Below are 25,053 nucleotides of genomic sequence, written 5' to 3'. Positions count from 1 at the left end.
AGGACAGGCTCCTGTAACAAAGACTTATGTGGCCTAGAATGTCAGTAGCACAGAGATTAAGAAACAAATCCTAGTCTAGGGAAAGAGGGTGAGAAGCGCTGAAATCCAAGTTGCTGCCTGGGAGGAAGCTGTCTCTACCCTGAGGAAGAGGCTCCTTTTCCTAATTCAGCCTGCACTGTGAGAACACATGTGAGCCCCAGGGAGGCACCCTGGGGAAGGTGGTGCTAGAGGGGAAGAAAATGTTATCTGCTGTCACTTAGGCTGTGATTTGTGCAAAAAGCGATTTAAAAGAGGTAGTCAAAAAGAGGGTCAAAAAGTCAGCCCATGTGATTATGTCATCTACTTGGTGGCAAATGCAGTTAAACCACAATGACATACCCACGCAGGTGACAAAGGAGATGTGATCAAAGATTTTCATTGCAGTACTGCTTTTAATAGTGAAAGATCAGAAACAATATAGTTTGTCCATCAGGGGACAAGCTGGATAAGCAATGGAATACTCCGTAAAATAATGGGGATACTTTCTATGTACAGCTATGGAAAAGTCTCCAGAATATATTAAGTGAATAAAGCAAAGTCCAGAACACCGTGGAGTACAGTGCTGCCATTAGGTGAAACGGGAGGAAACATTAATAAACAGTATATTGCTTACATTTGCATAAAGCAGCAGTGGATCTCAAAGTTGATTGTGCATCAGAATCACCCAGAAGGCTTTTTTAGCCACATGCACTTCAAATAACATCAACTATTTTACTTATTTATTTATTTATTTATTGAGCCAGAGTCTCACTCTGTCGCCCAGGCTGGAGTGTAGTGGCACGATCTCGGCTCACTACAACCTCCTCCTCCCGGGTTCAAGCTATTCTCCTGCCTCAGCCTCCCGAGTAGTTGGGACTACAGGCGCCCGCGACCACGCCCGGCTAATTTTTTGTATTTTTAGTAGAGACGAGGTTTTACCGTGTTGCCCAGGCTGGTGTCGAATTCCTGACCTCAGGTGATCCGCCCGCCTCGGCCTCCCAAAGTGCTGGGATTACAGGCGTGAGCCGCCGTGCCCGGCATCCTTTCTTTTATTTTCGGGAGAGACGTGGAAAGTGCCCCAATTTTCTCGCCCGTAGTTGAACCTCCCAGCTTTCCTGACCCCAGCCACCACCGGCGCGAGGCTTTAGACAAAGGCCTGTAAGTGGCCTCTTTCCTTAATCACGCCAGCACAAACCCCAGGAGATTGTTTCCCAACTCCCGAGTGGCTGCTGAGTGTGAGAAGTTAATGGCGTTTGAAGGAAATCCCCAGCAGCCGAAGAGTTCGGCCAACAAAGCAAACGTCCCGTCTCCGGTCTCCTCTTCCTTTGTAGGGGAAACGAACTGAACGTCTGAAACGAAGGTGGCGCGGCCTGGACAAACCTGACCCTTCGACATCCCCCGCCCCTGCGCCCGCCCTCGCTAAGCGGGGAGGAGCGACCGCTACAATGGATCCTCCCGCAGGCTTTGTGCGCGCTGGGAATCCAGCTGTCGCCGCCCCGCAGAGCCCCCTGTCCCCGGAGGGCGCTCATTTCCGGGCCGCCCACCACCCGCGTAGCACCGGCAGCCGCTGTCCCGGCAGTCTCCAGCCGTCCCGCCCGCTTGTGGCCAACTGGCTCCAGTCACTCCCCGAAATGCCAGTCGACTTCACTGGGTACTGGAAGATGTTGGTCAACGAGAATTTCGAGGAGTACCTGCGCGCCCTCGGTAAGCGCTGCCCGCTGCGCCCTGGGCGCCCCGCCGAGCAGCTCCGGGCCGCTCCCTAGAGCCCTCCCGAGACGCTGCCTGCCTGCCTCCATCCCGGCGAGCCGCGGTCCGGTGCCCCCGGACGCCAGAAAGGGCGTCCTCGGCCACCGCTCCCAGGGCAGCCCCCAGGCTGCAGATTGGAGAATTCGGGGTTGTTAGGTTAACCGGTGGCAAATGTCTGCTCGTTGGCCCTGGAGGTGGGTAATTTCATTAGTAAATCTGGGGCTTGGTTTGCTACTTTTTGTTTTTAAACGGTTAACATAAGAGCAGAAAACTTTGTTGGGGGCGGCAGGGGAGGCACAGGCAGGCTGTGCGCAGAGACAACGCAAAGCCAGCGGGAACCCTAACAGTGTTCGCGGGCGGAGAGGGCTCCTGGGGCCCCGCTACCTTGGGAACGGTTCTCTGAGTTTCCCTGCCAACTCTCTGGCGCTCTCTCTCTCCCCGTTCAACCCCCACCGCAGACGTCAATGTGGCCTTGCGCAAAATCGCCAACTTGCTGAAGCCAGACAAAGAGATCGTGCAGGACGGTGACCATATGATCATCCGCACGCTGAGCACTTTTAGGAACTACATCATGGACTTCCAGGTTGGGAAGGAGTTTGAGGAGGATCTGACAGGCATAGATGACCGCAAGTGCATGGTGAGGATTCGCGTCCACCTGGTGTCTCCTGCCCAGGGGGCCTGACCAAGGGCTGGGCTAGTTCATCCGAGAGGGGGCAAGGGCCTGAGGGACTGAAAACTCTTCCCACTCTCAGCCCCCATGGTGGGCAGCACCAACTCATGAAGCATCCTGCTCTATCTACACTGGAAGGTGATGGTTATGAAGGCTGCCATGTGCTGTGTCTCCACTGCGTTCAGGCACTCTGCCCGGTGCTTTATGCACATGACTTCACCTAAGCCTCACACAGCCTTTGAGGGAGATATGAATATGCCCATTTTACAGATGAAGAAACAGTCTCAAAGAGATGAAGTAACATGTCCAGAGTAGCACAGCTAGGGAGGGTCTGGAGTTCAAAGCATGTCTGTTGATGCCGTTCTCTGGCTGACTGGGCTGGTGGAGGGTAAAAGAAAAGAAAGGAGGAAAGAAAAAAGAAACACAGGTAACCCCTTTGAAGTGTAAACTTTCAGTATGACTTAGTGTGAAGTCACTCCAGGAAGCTGGGGGCCCCTTGATCTCTGCTGGAAGCCCCCTGATCTGCCCATCCTTGCCCCAGAGCTGGGATTTGGCTCCTGGCCATCCCCTGCCCCACCCTGTCATCCAATGCCTACTGAGCATTCTTTGAACTTTGCAGCTGACACCTATTCAGTAAGTCAGGGCCCCTCCAGCCCAGACCAGAGGAAACAGCAGTGGGGGAAGAGGGAGGGCCAAGAGCTCCCTTCCACAAGGGTGGGAAACTCCTGACCCAGGACATCCCAATTAGTACTGCCACAGCAGATGCCGGAAGGCCAGCCCCAGGCCTCCATCAACATTATCTGGTTGCTGGGAGGTCAAGGTACTCTTGTTCTCCCTTTATAGTCTTGGGTTCAGAAGTGGCTTATGTTCATCCCAGGAGCCACCTTGCTTATTGATGGGGTCCTCACCCACCACCTCCCACCATTTACCAAGGGTCTTTACCGCTGGTCTGCTGTGTGTCCAGCACTGTGCTAGTCATCTTACAGCACAGCACAGTGAGGGAGGGATAAGTAACCCCATGTTATGCAGTGACTGAGGCTCAGACAGAGGAAGAGACTTGTAAGAGATGAGACTTGAGCCCTGGGCCTTCTGATGTTGAAGCCCACAGTCCTGCTTTCTGCCAGCTTCTCTGCTGGTAGTCTGTGCAGAAACAAGATAGCTGAGGTCTGTTAGGATTGTAGTTGAAGGGATGCCCATGTCTGGGAATAGGCATCTGGAGCCTGGATGACTCATCCCCCCACCTTGTCTATTCATCTGAAGGCAGTCAGGATTGGTATCTGAGTCTGCTGTTTGGAATGATGGGAAAGAGGGGGTAGTCAGCAGGGAGTGGCCTTGGAAGGACCACTAATGGGAGAAAACACCATTGTTGCAGAGAAATGTCAGGTTGTGCCTTTAAAAATCTCAAGGACTCTTAATCTGCAGGAAAGACTCACAATAGGAAAGGAGACCTTCAGATGGCATCTGCCTTTCTCATTACTGCCCAAGACCTGCTCCCCGGCACACTGCATGGAACTTTGCTCCTTAAGAATAATCCTTACCCCCACTCACTATTGTGGAACTCACAGATCACATCGAACCTTTATTTTGGGTCACCACAAATCTGGCATGTGCTGGCTTGTACTAATTATCTTCACTCTTTCCTTCCTTTCTTCATCCATTAACACATGAAACATTTATTGATCACCTAGTAATACTAGCAAATGCAGTACTCATCAAGTGCTTACTGTCATGCCAGATGCTATTCAAACGTTACATTAGCTGACTTAATCTTCACAACACCCTTTCAAGCCTCATTTTACAGATAAGAAAACCACTGCAGGATTTCTTGCTGTGTGACCTTGGGGAAGTGCAGAGGGAGGATTTTAGTTAACCACTGCCCTGAACATACTGCTTCCCTCACGGGCTGGTCACCACGGCAGGCACAGGACAGCAGAGCATGTCACAGGCCCTGATGTCCAGGAAAGCAAAGTCTTTGCAGTGGAGGCAGGCACACCAACACTCGCAACACAGTGTGGCAAAGAAAAGCACAGGGTGGGAGTGAGGGGATGGGGACTACCCAGAGAAGGGGATCCCAGAAGAATTTCTGAAAGAGGTGACTTCTGTGCTTCATTGTAAAATAAAGCAGGGAGGTAGAAGGGAGGGTTTTGGATACAAAGGAAAGGACAAGGGCCACCTTTTCTTCTCACTACAGCATCAGCGTCAATCGAGCATCAAGCAGTAGTCGAGCAGACCGTGCAGATTCAGCCACTGGACGAATCCAGTGAAACTGGTCTAGGATGCATGGTTACTATCACTGCCCCAGGACTCAGGGATGCCCACTCTCAAGTAGATAGCCATTCGCTCACCTGTTGTGGCCTGTTGGGAGATGGAACAGCCTGTCTGCTCTGCTCAAGCCTTCGCCTAGCCCCATGCAGTACAGAAAAGCCCTTCTCTCTGGGCTGGCCGCTGGGTGGTATGCTGCTTTGGACTGCCGGAAGGACATGGCTGGATGGGGGTAGGATGATAGAATTAGAGCAGCTGTCAGGCCTGAGACTTGTGAATGGAGGGGAGCTGGGTACCCAGAGGCCACCAGCTGGGCTCTCTGAGGGCCGCCAGGGGTCCTGGACAAGGTGGTTGCCAAAGATCACTTTCACTGCTACCCCCTCTGCCTCACACACTGGGCACCCATCAGCCAGGAGCAGTGGCCCAGAGGAGTTTGTTCCCAGCATATTACAGGAGTCCCATTCTCACTTGGGATCGGTCATTCGTCTATTTTTTTCATTCCTCTCTGGACACCACAAGCATCTCATGGTGCTTCCACTATCTTTGCAACCCCTGTGTCAATGAGACAAATCACACACGATTCCTGCCCTCATGGAGTTCAGTGTAAGGAGGAGGCAAATTGAAGCAGCCAATCACGACGTAGTGGACACTGTGCTGATACAGGCAGAGAAGCACTCCCTGCTCGGTCTGAGAGGTCAGGGAACGCTCCCACAGGAATTGGAGTCTGAACTGTGGCTTATAGGATAGACAGGAAGTAGCCAGGCAAACAGAAAGGGGTTGAAAGAAAGGCCACGGCCGAAAGCTGTCCCACACCAAGCCCTGGGCTTGGCCCTGGGGTCGCAGAGGCAACAAGGCCTTCTGGACACCCAGGCCAGTGGAGGAGACAGGCACATCTTCAGGCCATTACAGCTCAATGCATGATGGGAGCACGGTGGGCTGGGGAGCATACAGCTGGGAGTAGGAAAGCAGTGGTCAGGGAAAGTCCCAGAGGAGGCGACAGCTGAGAGGGGCCTTAAAGGACTAATTAGGGCAGATGTGGAGAAAAGGATAAGAGCTTTCCAGTAAGCGGGAACCACATGTACAAAGGCCCAGGGTCAGAAAAGCCTGGCTGGGAGGGAGTTTCAGAGGTGAGAGAGGAGCAGTCTGCGAAGACTTCAGCATGCCTGGAGTGCAAGATGTGGCTGGGAGAGAAGAGAGCCAGGAGAACCTGGCAGGGAGACTTGATGTGACCCTGACAGGCCTCTGTGAGTCCTTGCTGGGAGAGGTGTGGCCAGGCTGACATCCCTCCCCAAAGGGCAGAGGCTCTCACTGGCTGAGAGATCTCTGATCCTGCCTCTTTTCCATGGGAACCTTATCTGTATTCTAGAACTGCAGCCAGAGGGTGAAACCCAGCCTGCAGATGTGTTTTGTTTGGCCTGTACAATGTTTGAAAAGCTTCAGAGTCAGTTGCCAATAATTGCCAAAGATTGTAAGATTTCACAGAAAATCCGTATTTCTGGCTGTTCTTAACAAAAACAACAAGAAAAGGAAAGGCCCTGGAAACACTGGGCACCTGTTTATTCCTGCACTGCGTGGATCCCTGGAATATGTTGCAGCTGCTCCCTTTAGATGTTACATTTCCTAGTTTACCACAGTCTTCAGCCCATCCTGTTACCTGAAGTCAAGGATCAAATGGCCATTTGTCGCTGTTTGCACTGTGGGTTCCTTTAGAGCTGTGGATCCCAAAGCAGAGGCAGCAGCAGCAGCAGCAGCATCACAGGGAACCTCTTAGAAATACAGATTATCTGGCCACACCCCTGGCCTACTGAATCAGAAACTCTGGGAGTGGGGCCAGCTATCTGTGGTTCAATAAGCCCTCCAGGTGGTTCTGATGCAACTAAAGCTTAAGAATCACTGCTCTGGAGTAAAGAAACATACTCTGTTCCTGTGTCTCTATAAAAAAATGGAAAACTGTAAAATTAGGTGTACAGGGCCATGGGCATGTAGAGGGCCAGTTTGGCCCATCACCTGAGTCCTATGGACATTGCAGTCCATGCCCAGAACCACCTGAAACAGCTCTGTGTTCTCTCCCCAGGTGGAGGGGTGGAGGGACTCAGATCTGGGCGGCTCTGCATCACTAGGCTCACATTTCCAGTCTGATCTAATCAGATTTTATGTGACCACAAACAGCAGGCACTATTTTGGTAGAGATATACAAAGTCTGGGCTCAGCTGAACAGACACAGGGCTTTTCTCCATTGCTTCCTGCATGCCTTTGTCCATAAAAATGTGCGATCAGGCCCAGCAAGGAACCAGCAGCATTTGTTGAATATAACACATATGTGCTTTGGCAGGGTGGGAGCTCTTGAGAAAGGAAGGTGCTCTGACTTCAGATAGTGTTTTCTCACTCCCGAGGAAGCGAGCGCCTCAAAATGATTTGGTTCTTTGTCTCGAAGTCCCCCCAGCATGAGCAGGTTTTGTGGGAGAAGACTGAGCCTCGGCCAGGAATCACAGCCGTGAGCCTGGCTCTGCGGGGGTGGCAGAAGGGCCATTTGTCATCCCCGTGTCCAGGTCATGTTTTTCCTGTAGGAGATGGCTTTGTTCACTCGGGGAACAGGCGCCTCCCCCTGTGGCTGGAGCCTCAGCTTCATATCCATCGTTGAACTTAGGATGACCCCTCCACAGGGCCTGCCTTCTGCTCCCAGCCCTCCGCCCCTCTGTCGCTTTCTTTGTTTTTATTATAAAAGGAAAATATTCAAATAGCACAAGAAAGTATGGGCTGAAAAGGGCCCCTTCCCCCACTTGGCCTGATTCCCACTTGGTGGATCTGTCCGGAAATCTTCCTCAGACTTATAATTGATCTATCTATTGATTAGGCAGTTGGCCAAGGTCTCTATCTAAAACCAAAAGAAAGAAAGGAAAAGAAAAAAAGGAATCCACTTCTCTACATATTTTTTTAACTCAGTGATATTTCTTACACATTTTTCCATATCAGCACTTACAGATTTTCTAAGTTCTTTTTTAACCGTCTATGTTTCCTTTCCTTCCCTCCCTTGACTTCCTTACTTACATCCTTCTATTTCTCCACCCATCCATCCATCCATCTAATTATATATGGTAATACATGAAATCCAACAAAGTACTGTTGACACTTTGGTTTAAACTCTTGCCAGCTTTCTGATCCTATTCTTGACCCATTAAAGAGATTTTTTGATTTGTTTTAAAAAACACACACACACACACGCACACACAATGCCACTGGCTAAATTAACTCCCTGGGCTGCAGCGCTGAGAATGCCGTTGGATGTGGGAGCCTCTGAGAGCTGCCCCTGCCCAGATCAGGCACCCGGCATTCAGCTGGGCCCTTTCCAGGCTAGAAACACAGGATCTCTTTCATGTCTTAGCTAAAGTTCTCCGACCTTTGAAATCGGTGTCAGCAGCGTGCTTTTGAGGATTACAAAAAGAAGAATTAAAGCAACCCAAATAAAATTCACAAAGTAGCTTTCAAAAATCACACTGCTTTGTTGGGTTTTGGGTTTTGTTAGGCAGGAACAAAGGAAAATAACATGTACTGAATCTTTACTAAGTGCCATGCCTGCCCCAATTGCTTTTTGTACTTTTTCTCCTTTGGTCCCCACAACAAATGCTGTTCAGTAAGTATCATTATACTCATTTCACAGATGAGAATCTGAGGCTCAAAGAAGTGAAGTGCCTTTTTAGCCCAAGGTCACCCTTGGGCTAGCTGGTGGCAGAGGAAGAATTCTAATTAGTCTGTTTATAAAGCTCTCTACCCCAAGGTCTCCCACAGAGCTTTGCTGAAGGCCAGCACCTCAGTTCCTTATTGTGAGCCTTCTCACAGTCTGAAGGTAAACCCAGGCAGTTTTGACAAGGCCTAGGATGAGTGAAAGGAGCACCGGTATTAGAGTCAGAACATCTATTTGAATTCTTCTCGATTATCTGACAGCGGCCTTAAATGATTAGACACACTGCCTTTGTTTTCATATCTGCAAAACGGGCATCATAATTGCTGCTCAGCGTGTCTCACAAGGCAAAGCTGAGGACCATAGAGATAGTACAGGGCACATGAGCTTGGGAAGCCACAATACTATGTGAGAACAGGGCCAGGGCCTGTGATACCCGAGACTGAGGGGCATGGCATAATCACTTATGATGGCCAGGTATTTACTGAATGAATTACAGCTGTTTGTTTTTCTGACCAACATTGTTCCTCCACCTCCCACCCAAGAGAAGCACTGTTTTCTTTATGGTGGGAATTACTCCTCCTCAACCTTTTGGGTCCTGGTGGGGCTGCAAATCATAGTACCCTGTCTCTTCTGGGAAGAGCACCTTCTGATAGGGTGATCACAGTGTCCCGTGGCCTGTCACATACTTGTGTATGTGGCCCAAGCTGGGCCAGTCACCATTTCCTGGGAGTTAATTTAGGAACCCTGAGAGACAGGTGAGTTCTATTCCGTTAAAGGTTGATGAGCTGTTATGATGTAAGCTTGGTGTTCTCTGAGGCCAGTCCCCTTACCCCACCTTCCTTAGCTGCATGGAAAAATCCAATTGAAGGAAAGTAAAAGATGAGGCCAATAGAGACAGAGAGAATGCAACATTAGAGGGTTACTAGAGTTCCTGACGCACCATTCCTAGATTTTCCATGTACTTCAACCAATACATTTTTTTTCTTTCACCTTAAGTTATGTGAATTGGTTTCCTGCCACTTGCATCTGAAAACATCCTAAGACATTCAAACTCCAGATATCAAGCGTTAAGACCCACATAAGTAGTTAGAGCAGTGGTTCTCAAATTTGAGCATGCCTTACCCCTAGAATTTCTCATTCTGAAAGTCTGGGGTGAGGCTTGAGAACTTGTTTTTCTAACAGGTTCCTGGATGATGCTGATGCTGTTGGTTCAAGGACCATGCTTTTGATAACTACTAACAAAGAAAAACAAGGAAGCAGGCTGGCCTGTGCCTAGTTTCCTGTGATTTTTCTCATCATGATTCAATGTAATAAGCCTGTGCTGGGGTAAAATGTGCCTAGTTCTAGGGGATGAATGAGAATAGGTAGGTGTAGCTCCATCCCAGGATCAGGGTAGTGGGGGATGAAGACTGCCTGGGGACCTCAATCTTGCAGCAGCCCACAGTGGTTTGCAATTGAGGGTCCAAGTAAGTGATACCAATAGTGTGTGCAGCTGGACAGGTGTGAGGTACAACAGAGCAATTAGGAGCTTTGACTTTGAGATGGACCTGGATTTGAATCCTGGTTCTGCCGTACAGCTGTTTCCTTGGCAAGGGTACTTTATCCCTCTGAGCTTCAATGTGCTCATTTGTAAAAGGAGCCAAGGGTAATACCCACCTAATGGAGTTATGTGAGAATTAAATATGGTGATGAATTATTTCTGTTTCCTGTTGCTGTGTAACAAACCACTCTGAAACTTAGTACCCTAACTCAACAATATTTATTTTGTTCACAAATCTGCAATTTGGACAGGGCTCAGTGGGGATGCCTTGTCCCTGCTGCCTGCCCTGCCAGTGGGGAGGTAGAGGATCCACTTTCCAGATGGCTAACCCACACTTACTCTCTGCTGGGTGCCTGGGCTTCCTCACTACGTGGCAGGTAGTTTCCAAGAATGCAAACACCATAGGGTGCCAGCTACCTTTAATACAGGGATTAGTGCGTTCTTCCTTTCTTCCTTCCTCTTCCCACCCCTTCCCTCTTTCTTCCCTCTGTCTTTCCTGAACTGAGGGTCCAAGGATAGCATAGGAATACTCTGGGAAAGAATGGTATAAACAAGATGGGTGTGAAGGTGGGGATGGCATGGAACCCAGTCTCCAAAACCTACCTTTGCCAGCTTTACAGTGGAACTGGTCCTGCACTAAGAAAATAAAAAATAATAATAATAATCTTCTCACAATGTGCAATAAATCAGAAAATCATCTTACTCTTTGACTCAGGGATCCCACTTATGGGATTATATTCCAGGAAAATCACTCTATTTGTACAAAGGTATCTGTTAGTCACTCTGTGATAATAATTCTCAACAACCCACAGAAGCATAACCACTATCTCAGGGCCTACTATGCGGCAGGCCCTGCCCTGTCATTTTATGTTTATTTAATCTCCTAACAATCCTGGATAGGAGGTGCTACTCTCCCATTTTACAGACAGGGAGCCAAAGGTCCTGCCCAGGTTCACATTACTGATTAACCATAGATTTGTGATCTCACTTCGGATGTCTCTGATTCCCTACTTTGTATGGTTTTTATAGAACAGGCTGTCTCCTGCTGGTATACCTAAATATCAAATAACTATGGGTGGTTAGAAAGACTGGCTTTTTAATTCCATAGACCACTATGTAGCCGTGTAAATGATCACTATGAAGATAAATGAAAAGTTTTTATAGGCATTCAGTCACCAAGTTCCATAGATTCTGCTTCTTAACGTCTCTTCCTGTTTTTCTTCATTCCCACTGCTCTGAATATCTCGTGCCAGTAATAATAATAACAATTAACATCTCTCGTGCTTACTGTGTGCCAGGCTCAGCGCTTTCCATGGATTATTTCATTTAATTACTGCAGTATCTTCACATTCATCTCCATTTTACCATGCTCAACACTTCAGCCCATCCCTCCCTTTCTAAAAAGGGAATCTGATCATGCTACTCCCCAGCTCAAAATTCCCAAGGGCTTCCCAGTGCTGATGGGTAAAAGCCAGATGGCACTCAGGCTCTTCAGATCATGGCCCTGCCTGTCTCTCCAGCCCTATTCCTTCCCTCACTCCTTATGCTTGGCCCCATCCCATCATTTGTCAGTGCCTTCACTTGCCATCCTCTTTGCATCCCTCTACTCACTTCTCTGAGGTATTTCTTTGCCTCTTCCTCTAGGAGGAGAATTACCCACTGGTCAAGACCCAGCCCAGGCTTATCTGCTCTGTTGATCCCATCCTGATTCCCCATCCCACCACTGTGCCCTTCCTTTGCCTTGCAGCCTCTCTCTTCAGGTGCTGCTTTTAGGGCACCTGTGATGCTAGTTAATGTGTCTGAGATTCTACACAGCAGCAGCCACACCATCATGGGCTCAGTGGGCTCCAATGTGTTCATTAAATGAATGTTAAGTGAAAATAGCAGAACCTCAGAAACATAAATGGTAGTCATTGACCATATCACTGCAAGATGCAATTGCCATTTAATAATAGCTCATGTTTATTAGGTATTCCATGTGCTAAAAATTCTTCTAAGCACTTTCCATGCATTAATTCTTTTAATCCTCACAATAATTCTATGATGAAGATGCCAAAATTCTTCCTATATTATACATGAAGAAAATGACTCAGTCTGACTGAGTTGTAACTGGTTCTGCTCTAGAGCTAGACCAGCCGGACCAGCCAGACTGTCATCTTTGGGATCTCATTTCTGCCCCTTACAAAGTGGGTGGCCTTATGCAAGCTACTTCACTTCTCTGTGCCTTTACTTGTCTGCGAAATGGGGATAATTATGAAATAGGGGATACCTGCTTTGTGGTGAGGATTAGATGAACGGTGTGTGGGAAAACCCACAGTGCAAACTGCCCCATCAGTATGAGCTGTTATTATTAATCCTCTCACACTGACCTGTGACCTCCAGAAGACAAATTCTGGGGGTGGTCACATGTATGAAGGGATACCTGGCAAACCAGAGAAGAGCTAGCAGGATTATGAGAGTGGAGGCTGGCCTGAAAAGGCACCTGCCTCTCCATACCCGCAGGGAACAGGATGGACTAGGCCAAGAGCAGAGAGGAATTATTGCTTACTGCACATTTTGTGTGTCCTGCACTGAAATAGGTCCTTGAAACCCCTTGTTTCATTTCATCCTGATGGCTCTGCTCTGTGGCTGGGCTCACTAGCCCCATTTTGCAGATGAGGAAGTGAAGGCTCAGAGAGGTGGAGTAAATTGCTTTGGTCACCCAGCAAGAACAAGGTGAGAACCTGCAGTTCAGGTCTGCCTCTACCCAAGGCTATCATTGGGTCCCTCCTGAATGCCCAGCTTGGCAGGCAGGCAGCTGTCCCATGACTGAGCCAGACCAGGCCCGCAGCCTGCCAGGTGATATTCAATGGCCATAATATTCATGCCAGCAAAATGTTCATGTGGGAACAGTAGGCAGACCATGGGCTCAGAGCTAGGCAGAGGGGATTTAAACCATGTCTTATACTATTCCTAGTTGCGTGCCTTTGCATATAGAGCCTAAGCACTCTGAGCCTTAGAGACTCAGGGTCAAATCACTCCAATGGTTAACCCCTTTCTATAAGGCTTACCTGTGAGGAAGAAACAGCCACATTGCTCAGAGAAAGCGTGGTGTTCACTGCAAGAGTGCCACTAGAATGCTTTCTGCTATTCATTCATTCATTCAACAAATGGTAATGCACATTTTCTCTGCCATGGATTCTAACATGGGGGCTGGTATCCTGCAGTGAATAAAAGGATCCCAGACCCCAAGGAGTTCTTCATCAAGAGATCCTGACATGCTCACTCTTCCCTGGTTACCTGGTTACTGATCTAGCACCTCTTATCTTCTGGGAGCTATTTATTTCTATTTGCCTTGAGATATATATATATATCTATTTATATATATATATATTTTATGTATATATATAAAATAGAGGCCAGAGATTCCCATGGAAGGGATGAGGCCTTCAGTGCCCCTCCTAAGCACTCTCTGACAGGATGTCCCCTCTCTTATTCTTATTCTCCCACCCTACCCCCAACTTCCACACCCCTGCCTTTGCTGGTGGAACTAATAACACACCAATTGCTTGTACTGGCCCCAGGTAGCAGATCCAGCACGGCCTGCCAGGTAAGCAAGCATCTGGATTTTCCATGGCACCAGGTTTGGCCAGCTGGAGCACGAAGACATACTGTGAGGAAGAAGAGAGGCTGTGAGCAATCTCCCCAGTAAATTCTGGGTCAGAGGTACAGGGTCAGCCTTCATGGGGAAGGTCAACCCACAGAGTTAAGCTGGGCAAAACCTATGTAGAAACTTCCCTCATGCAGACCCTGCTGTCCCTGATTTTCCTGCAACTGCCTGGGCTTGTTCCCTTTGCCTGGGACTCCCTTGTTCCTCTTCTTCCTCTTTCCACTTTTTTTTTTCTTTTTTTTTTGAAACGGAGTTTCACTCTTGTTTTCCAGGCTGGAGTGCAATCGCGTGATCTCAGCTCACTGTAACCTCTGCCTCCCGGGTTCAAGCAATTCTCCTGCCTCAGCCTCCCAAGTAGCTGGGATTACAGTCACACGCCACCACACCTGGATAATTTTGTATTTTTGGTAGAGACAGGGTTTCACTATGTTGGTCAGGCTGGTCTCAAACTCCTGAGCTCAGGTGATCCATCTGCCTCAGCCTCCCAAAATGCTGGGATTACAAGTGTGAGCCACTACACCTGGTTCTTCTTTCCACTGTTTGCTAACTCCCATGGTGTTTTCTGGCATCACTTCCAGCATTATTTCTAGCCTTACCTCTTCCAGGAAGCCTTCCCTGATGGGCCTCTGTCTCTACCTTAAAGGCTGTCGAGGTGCCTTCTGACTTCCATAACCTCCAGCATTTGTCTACCAGTACTTACCATTCTGCTGGAATTCTCTGTCTTCTTACCTTCTTCTCAGATAATCTGTGAGCCCTCAAGAGCAGGCCACTGACCTTACTTCCCTCTCTCCAGCACCTACAGCTGGTGCATAGGAGGTGTGAAACCCATGATTGCTGAATGCCGTTCCCTTGCACAGAACCACGTGGTGAATTCCTATTGCTCAGTCAAGGGTCAGTTTAAAGCAGGGAACTGCAGAGCACAGTCATCAAGAGCATGAGCTCTAGAGCCAAATCTCATCTCCCCACTTCACGGCTGGGTGAACTTCAGGCCTCAGTCTCCACATTTGTAAAATGATGAGAAGCATACCTGCTCTAGGAGGTTGTCAGGAGTCAACTGGTATGACATATACTTTGCCTAGTACCCTGCCCAGCACATAATGTTGGGCATTATCATTATCATAACAACACATGTTGTTATGATATTGATTATGGTGACTGATAATGACAGCAATGCTATCACTCCCACCAGGGAGCCTTCCCTGACCCCCCAGGCTGGGTTGCGGGCCGTCATCCCTCCCAGCATATAGCACAGAGGTGTCATTGCCTTCTCTCCAGGCTGAGCTACCCCATGACAGAGCTTCTGTGCAGCCCAGCCTTAGGGCCACCCTAAGTGCTAGGTCCCTGGGATGAATGAGTGCAGTTCCACAGGGCCCTGTGACCTTCTCCAGTCCTGTTCCCACCTCCTTATCCAGAACCTTGGCCTTGAGCACTCCAATGGTTTAAACTGACTCTAGGAACTTTCTGAATTGTTTAAGGAAAAATAACTATAACATGTCAAGTTTATTAGTCTTAACATTTTCTCATTTTGTCTTAATAATTGTGTTATCATTTGCTGTTAGCTTTTTCATGGTATTAGAATTGCATTCTTTCATGCTCACAAAAGCTTTGTTGTGGCTATACTATTTATAGTGATTGCTTTGAACATCTATTATGTCTCTAATTACTCGTTCACATTTTAAGGCCTTATTAATTTAGTTTTAATCTGCTTTTAGAGTGAAACTGGCTTTTCCTCTTGAATGTGCTGACTTTTGATTCCAGCCCCCCAGGAATGGATCAGAGAAGAGGAGCCGCTACCCACCCACTCATCAGCCTGGCCTCAGGGGCAGCTCATGGACTTTTTAGCCAGAGAGAACCGGGTTCAAGTTATGGCTCAAGCCCTAACCCCTTGGTGATGGGCTGGTTACTTATAGAAGCCTAATTTTTATCAGCTCTAAAGCTTGAAGATTTAGTGAAACATTGTGGAAAGCTCCCAGCACAGTACCTGGCACCTGGCAGGTTCTCTGTCATCTCCCCTACTTTTCCCTCCTGATCACTTATTTAACACAAGCACCAGATGCTGAAAACCCTCTAATTGTCCCAGGAACACACATACCCTCAAAGGGAGAAGCACACTTTCAAATCAAACTCCAGGATTTGCATCTTTTAGCAATTTCCATTATGCGGAGAAAGTATCTACTCACTGTCTGGTTTTGAAATTTTACCCCAAATCGAAAGAGCATGGGTTTTGGTGTCAGACCTGGGTCGGTCCTGGCTCTGGCCTTTGCAGGCAGTATCACCACGGGCAAGGCTTCACCTCTCATAACCTGGCTGTGGAACCACAGAAACAACAGAATTCAGTCCCAGCCCTCCAGAGGTGGATCCGTAAACAGAGGGACTACTAGGGCTGGGTGGAGGGCTGTGAGTGATCCAACATCCCCTGCTCTTGAGAGTGGTGTTTTAGCATGGGAGTGTTAATGAATGTCACAAGTTTCTTGATACCAAATAGAGTTCCTACCATTTGCAGGTCATACCGGTCACTGCCAAGAGATGGCTTATTTAGTGGGAATTGTCTGGCACTCCTAGTATAAGTCACCTAAGTGGGGCAAGTGGGCCTTGAAACATCCCTGGGAGACACTCACTCAGGCTGCCTGTGGGAGCTGGGCTTTTTGTGTCACTCTCCCATGCAGCAGTGACGGCTGGGGTTTCTAAGTGGTCAGAGGAGCTGGAAAATGGCTTCTGAAGTAACAGTCCCTTGTCATAGTGGTACAAAGATGTCTTCATTCATCTGTTGGCACATGTCTCTGGGTAAACTGCCGGCAAGGCCAAAGTGATGGGGGTTATTATTAGTTTTTAATAGAAAAGTTAGACTGGCTTCACTTTCCAACCAGCTTCCCTAGTTCCAGCCCATTTGCAGACTTTTGGGTGGTCTGTGGGATGAAAATTTCTTGTGAGGAGGTGAGCTGAAGATGGCCATCCCTCCTGGTTGCTCTTGGATTGTCTGGGCTTCATTTCTAAGGCGGTCCCAGAGCCCATGTGGGGGTTGGGGGAAGCAGCATTGTCTAGCCCCTTTGGTTTGTACCCATGTTCACCCCACCCCCACAGCCACCTGCCTTTTCTGTGGGACTTGAAAAGCATCAGGAATATCTTCCTACCTGAAATTCTTCCATTAGACCCTGATTAATTGGATTAATCTAGGAAACCAGATTAAATGACCATTTAACGACCCTTTCAGATCTGGCTGAATCCTTGTCCCCGAATGTTCACTGCTCCTGATCTAGCAAAGACAGCTGGCTGCTGACTTCAGAGGGAGGTCATGGAATAAGTTATTGGGTCCTAGGGAAAGTTGTTTTCATAAGTTCTACTTTGTGTCACAAGAAAATGAATTATCATTGTTTGTTAGGCATTCACCTTCCAACATTACTTATTTCCTTTTCCCTGTCATTTGTGTTTAAGTGATAGTCCCCCTCCTTGGCTCCACACCTCCTTTTTCTGTTCTTATGACAAATCAGATTCTCTTTGAAATAACTAGTCTATTCCCACAAGATAAAAAACTTAAAATGAAAAATCCAGTCCCACCAAAAGTTAACATGGGGAGAGTGGGAGAATTAAATCACACTGCTGAGCCATCCCAGCTATCAGTGGGGGTCTTCAAACAGATCTTCTGCTTAAACAAAGACCAGTTAACATATAAAGGAAGCAGGCATCGTGGTGCTCAGCAGGCAGCCCCTGCAGGTCTCCTCATGGATCCCAGTATCCTAGAAAGAGAAGGAGCTTCCAAAACCTTGGCCATGATGAATAGCATGTCAGTCACTGCTTCACAAATCTCCAACTCTTAAAAAAAAGGCTTTCATTATTGTTCAACATTGACAAGGAAACCCATCTTTATCTAAGCTCTGGGCATCATGATTACCATTACCTAGTGCCTCCTATATGCCAGCCCTATGCATTTTCTGTATATTTTCTCAAATCCTCAGAACAACCTGGTGAAGTAGGTGCTTTGTTTATCTAATGCCATGTAACCAGCCCAAAACTTAATAGGTTAAAACAACAACCTTATATTCTCATGATTCTGTTGGTTAATTGTGCAGTTCAGCTGCCTGTGGCTGTGTTCAGCTGAAAGCTCAGTTGGGGCGCCTCAGCTCTTCTCCAAGTGGCTTCTTTCCCATCCTCCAGGGCTTCTCCTTGTGCCCTTTCTCTTTGGCAGAATATCCTGGACTGCCTTAACATATAGCAGCTGGGTTTCAAGAGGGGAAGATTCCAAGAGGACAAGCCCCCAGCATACAAGTGTTTATAAAGGCACTACTTCCATCATGCTTGTTCATGTCTCACTAGCCAGAGCTAGTCACGTGGCCAAACCAAGCCGATGTAGGAAGAGACTTCACAGGGGTTTGAATATCATGAGACTCGGGAGTCACCAGTGGAAGAGTCTACCACAGTAGGTATCGTTTAGCCTTCTTTTGCAGTTGAGGGCACAGAGACTCAGAGAGGTTAATCCAGTTGCCCAATGTCATCCAACATAGTCAGGAACAGAGGACCCAGCTCTCTCTGATACCATGTTCTTTGCTGCCCATACTAAGTCAACCTGATATAGGTTGAGGTGGTATAGTAGGAGGCGGGCAGGGACCAGGAGCCAAGTATAAATGGCCAGTAAGCTTCCAGGATTCTTTAACCCAGAGTACAACCTGACCAATTCCCTGGCCCACCTGCCCGCCTGGATGGTTCTACCCAACAGCACAGGCAGCAAAGACAGGCACTGAAAACATGCTCCAGGCCACAGTCTGGGTTTTTCAGTCTGATATTCTGGCCCCATCTCCCCACCACCCCCCAACAACCTTGTTCCTCCTCTCCTTAACTCCAGGATAGTCTTCTACAACACTGGCTTGTTGTCATTTCTCCCTCATCACCTCCTACCCCTTTCATCCTTTTTCACTCTGCCTAGAATGCCCCTCCCATTTTTAGAAACTCCTTTGAGGCCATGACAGCCTGGGCACTTCTCTGTGGGGACCTCTACAGGCAGAAATCTTTAAGACCTCTTTCTGACTCCCAGCACCCATACCCCCACAATGGTTGGAATGAACTTAAGGGTGTTCCTCCAGGAGTCTGCTCGGAGTCTTAGCACAATGTCCATGTGTTTTTCTGCAGCCCCCAATGATTTTAGCCACCATCTCGTGGGCACCTGGCAGGTGCCCTGCCCTAGACTGGGAAACAAGTGGGCACCAAGTCATGCAAAGCCCGTGCTCCAGCCCAGATTCTTTCTCTCATTTACTAGGTGACCAGAGAAAGTCATGGAACCTCTCTGAGCTCAGCCACCCCTCTACATCCAATACAGACAAGAATAATCTCTGCTTTGTCCAACTCCTAGCACTTTAGGAGGCCAAGGCAGGTGGATCACCTGAGGTCAAAGAAAATAATCTCTGCTTTGTCCAGTATCAGAGTCAACAGAAGCTTGGGGTTAAGAAAGGCTTTCTGGGAGACTGATGCAGTATGCATGTGATAGGGATCCTTCCCTTTAAGAAGCCTGGTTTGTAGGGCTCTCAGAAAGGCTCCTCTACACCCCAACAGACTTCTGCTCTCTCTATCCCTCAATCTGTCAAGCTGCCTGAAATTCTGCCATCTGTCATTCTTTTGGGCTAAGGTATTATTATTGTTTATATCCAGATGGCCCCTGTTAAAAGATGCCAGCGATCTGGAAATGGTAACACAGTAGCCCCAGGAGCAAAAGCATGCTTTACCATTAATAAACATCTCTCTCATGGTCATTCTCTGACCCTGGTGTTGGAAGGTAAATAGGTGTGAGCTTTCTGGAGATAAAGTTGGCAATACTCATCAAAAGCTTTACAAATATGCACACTCTTTGATGCAACAATTCCTCCTCTGGAAATTTCTTCTAAGGGAACAATGTGTTCAAAACTATGTATACAAAGAAGTCTTATTTATAGTAGCACAGAATTATAAATAAATAACTTAAATGTCCAAAATAGGTAATTGGCTAAATAACAGTATGTATGTACAATCAAATACTATCAGGGACTGTTTTGTGGGCCTGTGACAAAGGCAGTCCATCAGGGCCCCAGGCTCAGAAAGCCCCTCACTTGGTTTAATGCTCTGCTGTCACCAGCTTAAAAATCTTAATGATTTTGAGCAAAGAATCCCTCATTTTCATTTTGTGGTGGACCACACACACACTATGTAGCTACTTCCTAGAATATTACGTAGCAATTAAAATAATGCTTATGGAGAATATTTGTTGAAATGGGAAGTTGCTTCAATTAAATGAAGAAATGAGGATATGAAACCATAAATGATGCAATCCTAATTTTGTATAAAACAGAAACATGTAGATAGATAGATAGATATAAAAAAAAAAGAGTGGATGGAAATTTACCATACATTGTAACATATACAATGTTAGAGCAATTATCTCTTTTTTTTTTTTTTTTAAGACGGAATTTTGCTCTTGTTGTCCAGGCTGGAATGCGATGACATTATCTCAGCTCACTGCAACCTCCACCTCCCGGGTTCAAGCAATTCTCCTGCCTTAGCCTCCCAAGTAGCTGGAATTACAGGCATGCACCACCACGCCCAGCTAATTTTGTATTTTCAGTAAAGAAGTAGAGACGGGGTTTTACCATGTTGATCAGGCTGGTCTCGAACTCCTGACCCCAGGTGATCCACCTGCCTCAGCCTCCTAAAGTGCTAGGATTACAGGTATGAGCCACCACGCCTGGCCTAGAGTAATCATCTCTAAAGAAACAAAACTACATGTATCATTTTTATTACCATTTTCTTCTTCGGTGTTTTTTTTTTTAATTTTCCAATACAAAGACTATGACTATACTTCCTGACTAATATTTCCAGAAGAGGCAAAAATGTATGTCATAGCTGAAAACAAGCAATTGTCTCTTGTGCCTCTGAGTGAATCCGGAACCCTTCATATGCACAGTAGCCTTCTGGATAAACACATGAAGAGAAGATCAGTTGATGAGGAAACCAAGTGTTCTTATGAGCTTCTTGAAGCTGAGGACTGATTTCTGGGTCCCCACTTCCCTCTACAGGCCTGGGATGGAAGGAGCACGGATAAGTGAATGGGTGTCCTGTCTTATTTATGGCATGAGGTCATGAGTAGTCTTTACCCATGACATGTCTCACCACACATTAACCACACTATGTTTTGCGTTCTCTCTAGCCTGGGACTAGACTGTGCCCTGAGTGAATTTCTGGATCAGAGAGAGGATCTGCCCCCCAAGTCCTTTTATGCCCCATTTCTCTCTGGAGCAGAGAGCAGACTTACTCCTATGCAAAGCTGGGGGAGCACATGTGGCTCCACCTGCCTCCCTCGTGCATGTGTCGCATTGCAGGCTTCACCCCAACAGCAGGGGGCAGTAGTGATCAGCAGGCCCAGGTGGGAGGCCTGGGGTGGGGAGGTCCTCCTGCAGGGAGTGGCCCCACTAACGCCACACCCATCTCCCATAAGTCTCCTCTCCCAAATCCTTTATTCGGCTGTTGCTGACTGTCCTGACTCAGCTGAGCATGGCAAGGAACACAAGGATCCTAGAACCTTAGCTCTCTACATTCAAGGCCTGAGTTAATGTCCCCATGTGACAGATGAGAGCACAGGGGCCCTGAAAAGGGAAGGATTTGCTGAGAGCCACACAGTGAGCAAGGGGCAAACAGAGTGCTGAGCACTACTGTGGGGAGGCCAGGCTCATAACACAGAACTGCCCCATATGGGACGGCTATTCAAAAGAAGGTGGGCAGCCCCAAATATGAGTGATGCCCACTGCACTTTCTGTGTGCCCACATCTGCGACATGTGTCCCAGTCTAGGGCACACTCATGGCTATGCTGGGATGACAGGACCACCTTGCCTCTGAAGTCCAACACTTTTTTCAGCCCCGTGTTGCTAGGTGGGCCTTTTCTGCTCCACTAAGACTGAAATCTCCCCAGGACACAGGCTGGGCCTCCTCCTCCTGCCTGTCTTCCCTTCAGCATGCCCAGCACATGGCAGGGCTCACAGTGCTCAGGGAAGATGTGGGGGCTCAAATGTGGGGTGTAGAGGGTGTCACAGTGCTCATCTGTGCTCTGCCAAGCCCAGGCTGGGCTGTGGGATTTTCCTCGCCTTCCTCCTCAGTTCCCTGGTGCCCTCCTGATGAGCTCCTAAGTGTACTTCCCGCTGTCCCACCTCAGGCCTTCACCGGGTGGTGGGCTACTGGGAGCTCTTCTCCACAGCGCCTCCTTTCCTCTCCTTCAGCTCCATTCTTCTCTCCTTAGAGCCCAGCCCTAGTGAATCCCACTCCCTGGACTCTCACCTGGGCTCCCACAGCCTCTGGCCTATAACCCTGGTGACCATGAACGCTTCAAGAAGCAATTTAGTCCATTGGGGTGGGGACCTTCAGAGCCCCACAGATCTGTGTTCAGACCTGGTTCTTCTACTGAACAACATGGGTGAACTTGGCAAGTCCCTTAAGCTGATCTGTGAAAAGGAGATGCTAATCCCTGCTCACGTGGATAGGCATGAGGCTTCAGAGACAGCACAGAGAGTGCCTGGCAGAGCAGGTAGGCAGCTAACAGCTGCCATTTGTACCTTCACTGGGTTATTTATATCTAAGGTCATTCTCCCTGTGAGATGAAGAGCGCTTTGAGGGCAGGGGTGGGGTCTTTTTGGTATCCCAGGACTTAGCATAGGTTGAAACAATGAATGGATGAATGAAGTGTCTGGGGATGGTCAGGGTACACTCTGAGAAGTCTGCCCCTCACCATAAGATTCTGGAAAACATCCTTCACCCCTCACACCCAGCTGTGCTCAGCCCTCAGGCCCTCCTCTCCACCTTAGCCCCATTCTCAGTGCTTGCAATGACAGCCCCACTCCAATGACTTTTTCCCTCCTAATTACCCTTTTAAATAAAATTTATGAAGGTTTTCATAAATTTTAAAACTGATTTACACACTTTAATAAAAGCATGTGATGGACAGGGAGTATTAGGCTGCAGATTTTCTACAATGAAATTGACGTGAGCACATCCCAGATTATCAAGTTTGGGAGCTGCCCCCTCCCCCAGCCTCCAGGAGCTCCCCGCTTGCTCAGGATTGACAAATGTGTCTCTTTCTTGGCAGACAACAGTGAGCTGGGACGGAGACAAGCTCCAGTGTGTGCAGAAGGGTGAGAAGGAGGGGCGTGGCTGGACCCAGTGGATCGAGGGTGATGAGCTGCACCTGGTAGGTTCCTGGGCTGGGTCAGGCCGGGTCCCCAGAGGCCCTGGTCATTGTTGAGGTCCAGATGGACCTTGGAAAAAGGCACCATGGATGGGCCTTGGTTCTGTTCTAAAGCTTCTCTTCCAAGGGCCTGGAAAAGATGCCTGGGTGACTTTAAAAACCAAGCAATGTATTTTCAAGGTCTAGGCTGACCCAATCATCTAATCAGAGGGAAGAGGTGAGGAGTTATATCCATTAAGCATCAGCAATGAGCTAAGCCCTTTTGCATTCTATAACTCTATTCTCTCAGAATAGGAATATGGCTCTTATTTTAGAGATGAGGACCTGGGGGCTCTGAAAGATTAGATTACATGTCCAAATTGCACAACTAGAAAGTGACAGAACAAACATTTGCTCCCAAATGATGTATATATTCACCATGCCAAATTGTATAGGCCAAAGCCAAGAAGGATTCTCTAAGCTTCTCTAAGATATGATCTCAATCTGGGTCAGCGGGAGGTGATTCGGGAGGGGAAGCGTCAAGGGGTCCTGTTGGTCAGCTCTGAGCCACATCCATTCCTCTCAGCCAGCTCTGTCTGTAGGGTGCTGCAGAGCACTCCACTATACAGTTTAACTGTCTTTCCAAACAATTGGTTACTTAAACCAACTCTTGGGGAAAAATAACAGCCAATGAGTATTTTTAGAGTTCTTGCCGTAAGTGTGACTCTGCTCTGGCCAATGACCAACATCTGCTTTTGTTTCAGGAGATGAGAGTGGAAGGTGTGGTCTGCAAGCAAGTATTCAAGAAGGTGCAGTGAGGCCCAGGCAGACAACCTTGTCCCAAGGAATCAGCAGGATGTGTGGGCCAGGATCCCCCTCTTTGCACAGCATGAGGCAAAAATGTCCAGCCACCCCCAGGCATCTGTTAGCAGAGTCTGTCTCTTGGCTTTGTCACTTTTCCTTTTCTTAAAACAAAGCCATGCCAATAAAGTGATCTGTGTTCAAAACGTCTGTTTGGGGGAAGTTTCACTGCCCACTGTGCTCACTTTTTCTCCAGGGCTTCTGAGGCCAGCTTCTCCTAGTGCCACCCATGGGCAGAGTGGATAAATTCAGCCACATGTCCTGAAATTGCACCGTGTTTCTCTCCAGAGGCACAGGCTTGGGTCTAGAATGGGAGGTGGGAGAGTGGCCTGACATTCAATCATTTGTGTATCAAGTAGCTACCATGTTATGTATCTAATTGTGGCCAAAGTATAGTGAGTGCCACAAAAGCAGGAGAAGATACCTTCCACCCTAGAGATCCAACCAACAGAGAATGTCTATATAACTGCACAGTACACCAAGGAGATGCTTCATCATTATTTGTGAATGAAATGGAACTGGACAGAATTTTAAGCCCAAAGCATAAAATTACTTAAACATAAGTAATTACCTATTGGATTTAATTTCAGAGATGTCATGAGATGTCACCACCCTCAGACCATCCACCCCATCTACGGGCTGGTATCAGCCCTTTCTTTTCACTGTTGTAGATGAAGCAGAACTTGCAATTCCCCCTAAAAGAGACAGAGCAGCCTCACGTTCACACTAAAGTGTAGGAGATTGCTAGCTGCACCTTTGCATAAAGAAACACAAACAGGAGTGAGGATGTGAGAGATCGTGGATAGGGAAAACAATTGGAAAAGAGAAGACACATGGAGGACTCCCTTTGTGAATCTGACAATATGCCCAGACTATGCCCTACTCCTTGACAAGAGTTAGGAGTCAGAACAGCTGAGTAAAAATCCCAACTTCAGCACTCACAGGGCAACACCACACTCCTCTGGACTTCACTTCTCCAGTCAGAAAACCACAAAACGAACCTGCCTCACCTACTGCACAGGTGGGTTGTGAAACTTGTAACCTGCAAAGCACTGGACCAGTAGTTCTCAGACCTGGCTAAATGTTAGAACCACTTGGAGAGTTTTCAAAATTCCATATGCACAGGCCACTCCCTACAACCAATTACATCTAAATGTTTCAAAATACCAGGCATACTATGTTGTTTGCTTATTTTTTGAGCGGGTCTTATTCCGCTGCCCAGGCTGGAATGCAGTGGCACGATCTTGACTTGCTGCAACTTCCATCTCCTAGGCTCAAGCAATCCTCCTGCCTCAGCCTCCCAAGTAGCTGGGACTACAGGTGTGTGCCATGATGCCTGGCTAATTTTTGTATTTTTTGTATAGATGGGGTTTCACCATGTTGCCCAGTCTGGTCTTGAACTCCTGGGCTCAAGCAATCCTGCCTCAGCCTTCCAGAATGCTGGGATTACAGGTG

At 47.9% G+C, this 25,053-nt stretch overlaps 1 protein-coding gene and 1 long non-coding RNA gene across 5 annotated transcripts in view, besides 4 other annotated features; one reads left to right on the top strand and one right to left on the bottom strand.

Moving 5' to 3' along the window:
• COPB2-DT (COPB2 divergent transcript) overlaps positions 1–25,053 on the bottom strand; it is a 193,517-nt gene that overhangs the window by 42,138 nt on the left and 126,326 nt on the right. The window lies entirely within an intron of this gene.
• RBP1 (retinol binding protein 1) lies at positions 1,440–23,744 on the top strand. 4 transcript variants are annotated; one of them, NM_002899.5, is made up of 4 exons: positions 1,440–1,722; positions 2,223–2,401; positions 22,660–22,761; positions 23,502–23,744. In NM_002899.5, the coding sequence occupies exons 1-4, from the start codon at positions 1,464–1,466 to the stop codon at positions 23,553–23,555; spliced, it is 594 nt and encodes a 197-aa protein (NP_002890.2). In that variant the 5' UTR covers positions 1,440–1,463; the 3' UTR covers positions 23,556–23,744. The 4 variants fall into 4 exon arrangements, with proteins under 4 accessions (NP_002890.2, NP_001124465.1, NP_001124464.1 ...); NM_001365940.2 differs by having other exon boundaries at positions 1,546–1,722; NM_001130993.3 differs by lacking the exons at positions 22,660–22,761; positions 23,502–23,744 and adding an exon at positions 15,280–16,771.
• Positions 2,365–3,564: an enhancer, noted in NCBI's record as "CDK7 strongly-dependent group 2 enhancer chr3:139256460-139257659 (GRCh37/hg19 assembly coordinates)". NCBI's record gives its function as "activates an origin of replication core promoter dependent on BRD2, BRD4, P300/CBP, MED14 and CDK7 cofactors, with strong dependence on CDK7, by STARR-seq in HCT116 cells {active_cell/tissue: HCT116}" and the evidence as "EXISTENCE:reporter gene assay evidence [ECO:0000049][PMID:35650434]".
• Positions 5,410–6,057: an enhancer, noted in NCBI's record as "H3K4me1 hESC enhancer chr3:139253967-139254614 (GRCh37/hg19 assembly coordinates)". NCBI's record gives its function as "activates a minimal SCP1, AML or CMV promoter by ChIP-STARR-seq in primed H9 embryonic stem cells {active_cell/tissue: H9 hESC(primed)}" and the evidence as "EXISTENCE:reporter gene assay evidence [ECO:0000049][PMID:30033119]".
• Positions 6,704–7,205: an enhancer, noted in NCBI's record as "H3K4me1 hESC enhancer chr3:139252819-139253320 (GRCh37/hg19 assembly coordinates)". NCBI's record gives its function as "activates a minimal SCP1, AML or CMV promoter by ChIP-STARR-seq in primed H9 embryonic stem cells {active_cell/tissue: H9 hESC(primed)}" and the evidence as "EXISTENCE:reporter gene assay evidence [ECO:0000049][PMID:30033119]".
• Positions 7,181–7,475: an enhancer, noted in NCBI's record as "tiled region #7279; K562 Activating non-DNase unmatched - State 7:EnhWF". NCBI's record gives its function as "activates a minimal TATA promoter and a strong SV40 promoter by Sharpr-MPRA in K562 cells {active_cell/tissue: K562}" and the evidence as "EXISTENCE:reporter gene assay evidence [ECO:0000049][PMID:27701403]".

Source organism: Homo sapiens, chromosome 3 (assembly GCF_000001405.40).
Source record: "Homo sapiens chromosome 3, GRCh38.p14 Primary Assembly".
NCBI lineage: Eukaryota > Metazoa > Chordata > Mammalia > Primates > Hominidae > Homo > Homo sapiens.
Note: the sequence above shows the minus strand (reverse complement) of the source record. Positions and strands in the feature narration are given on the sequence as shown.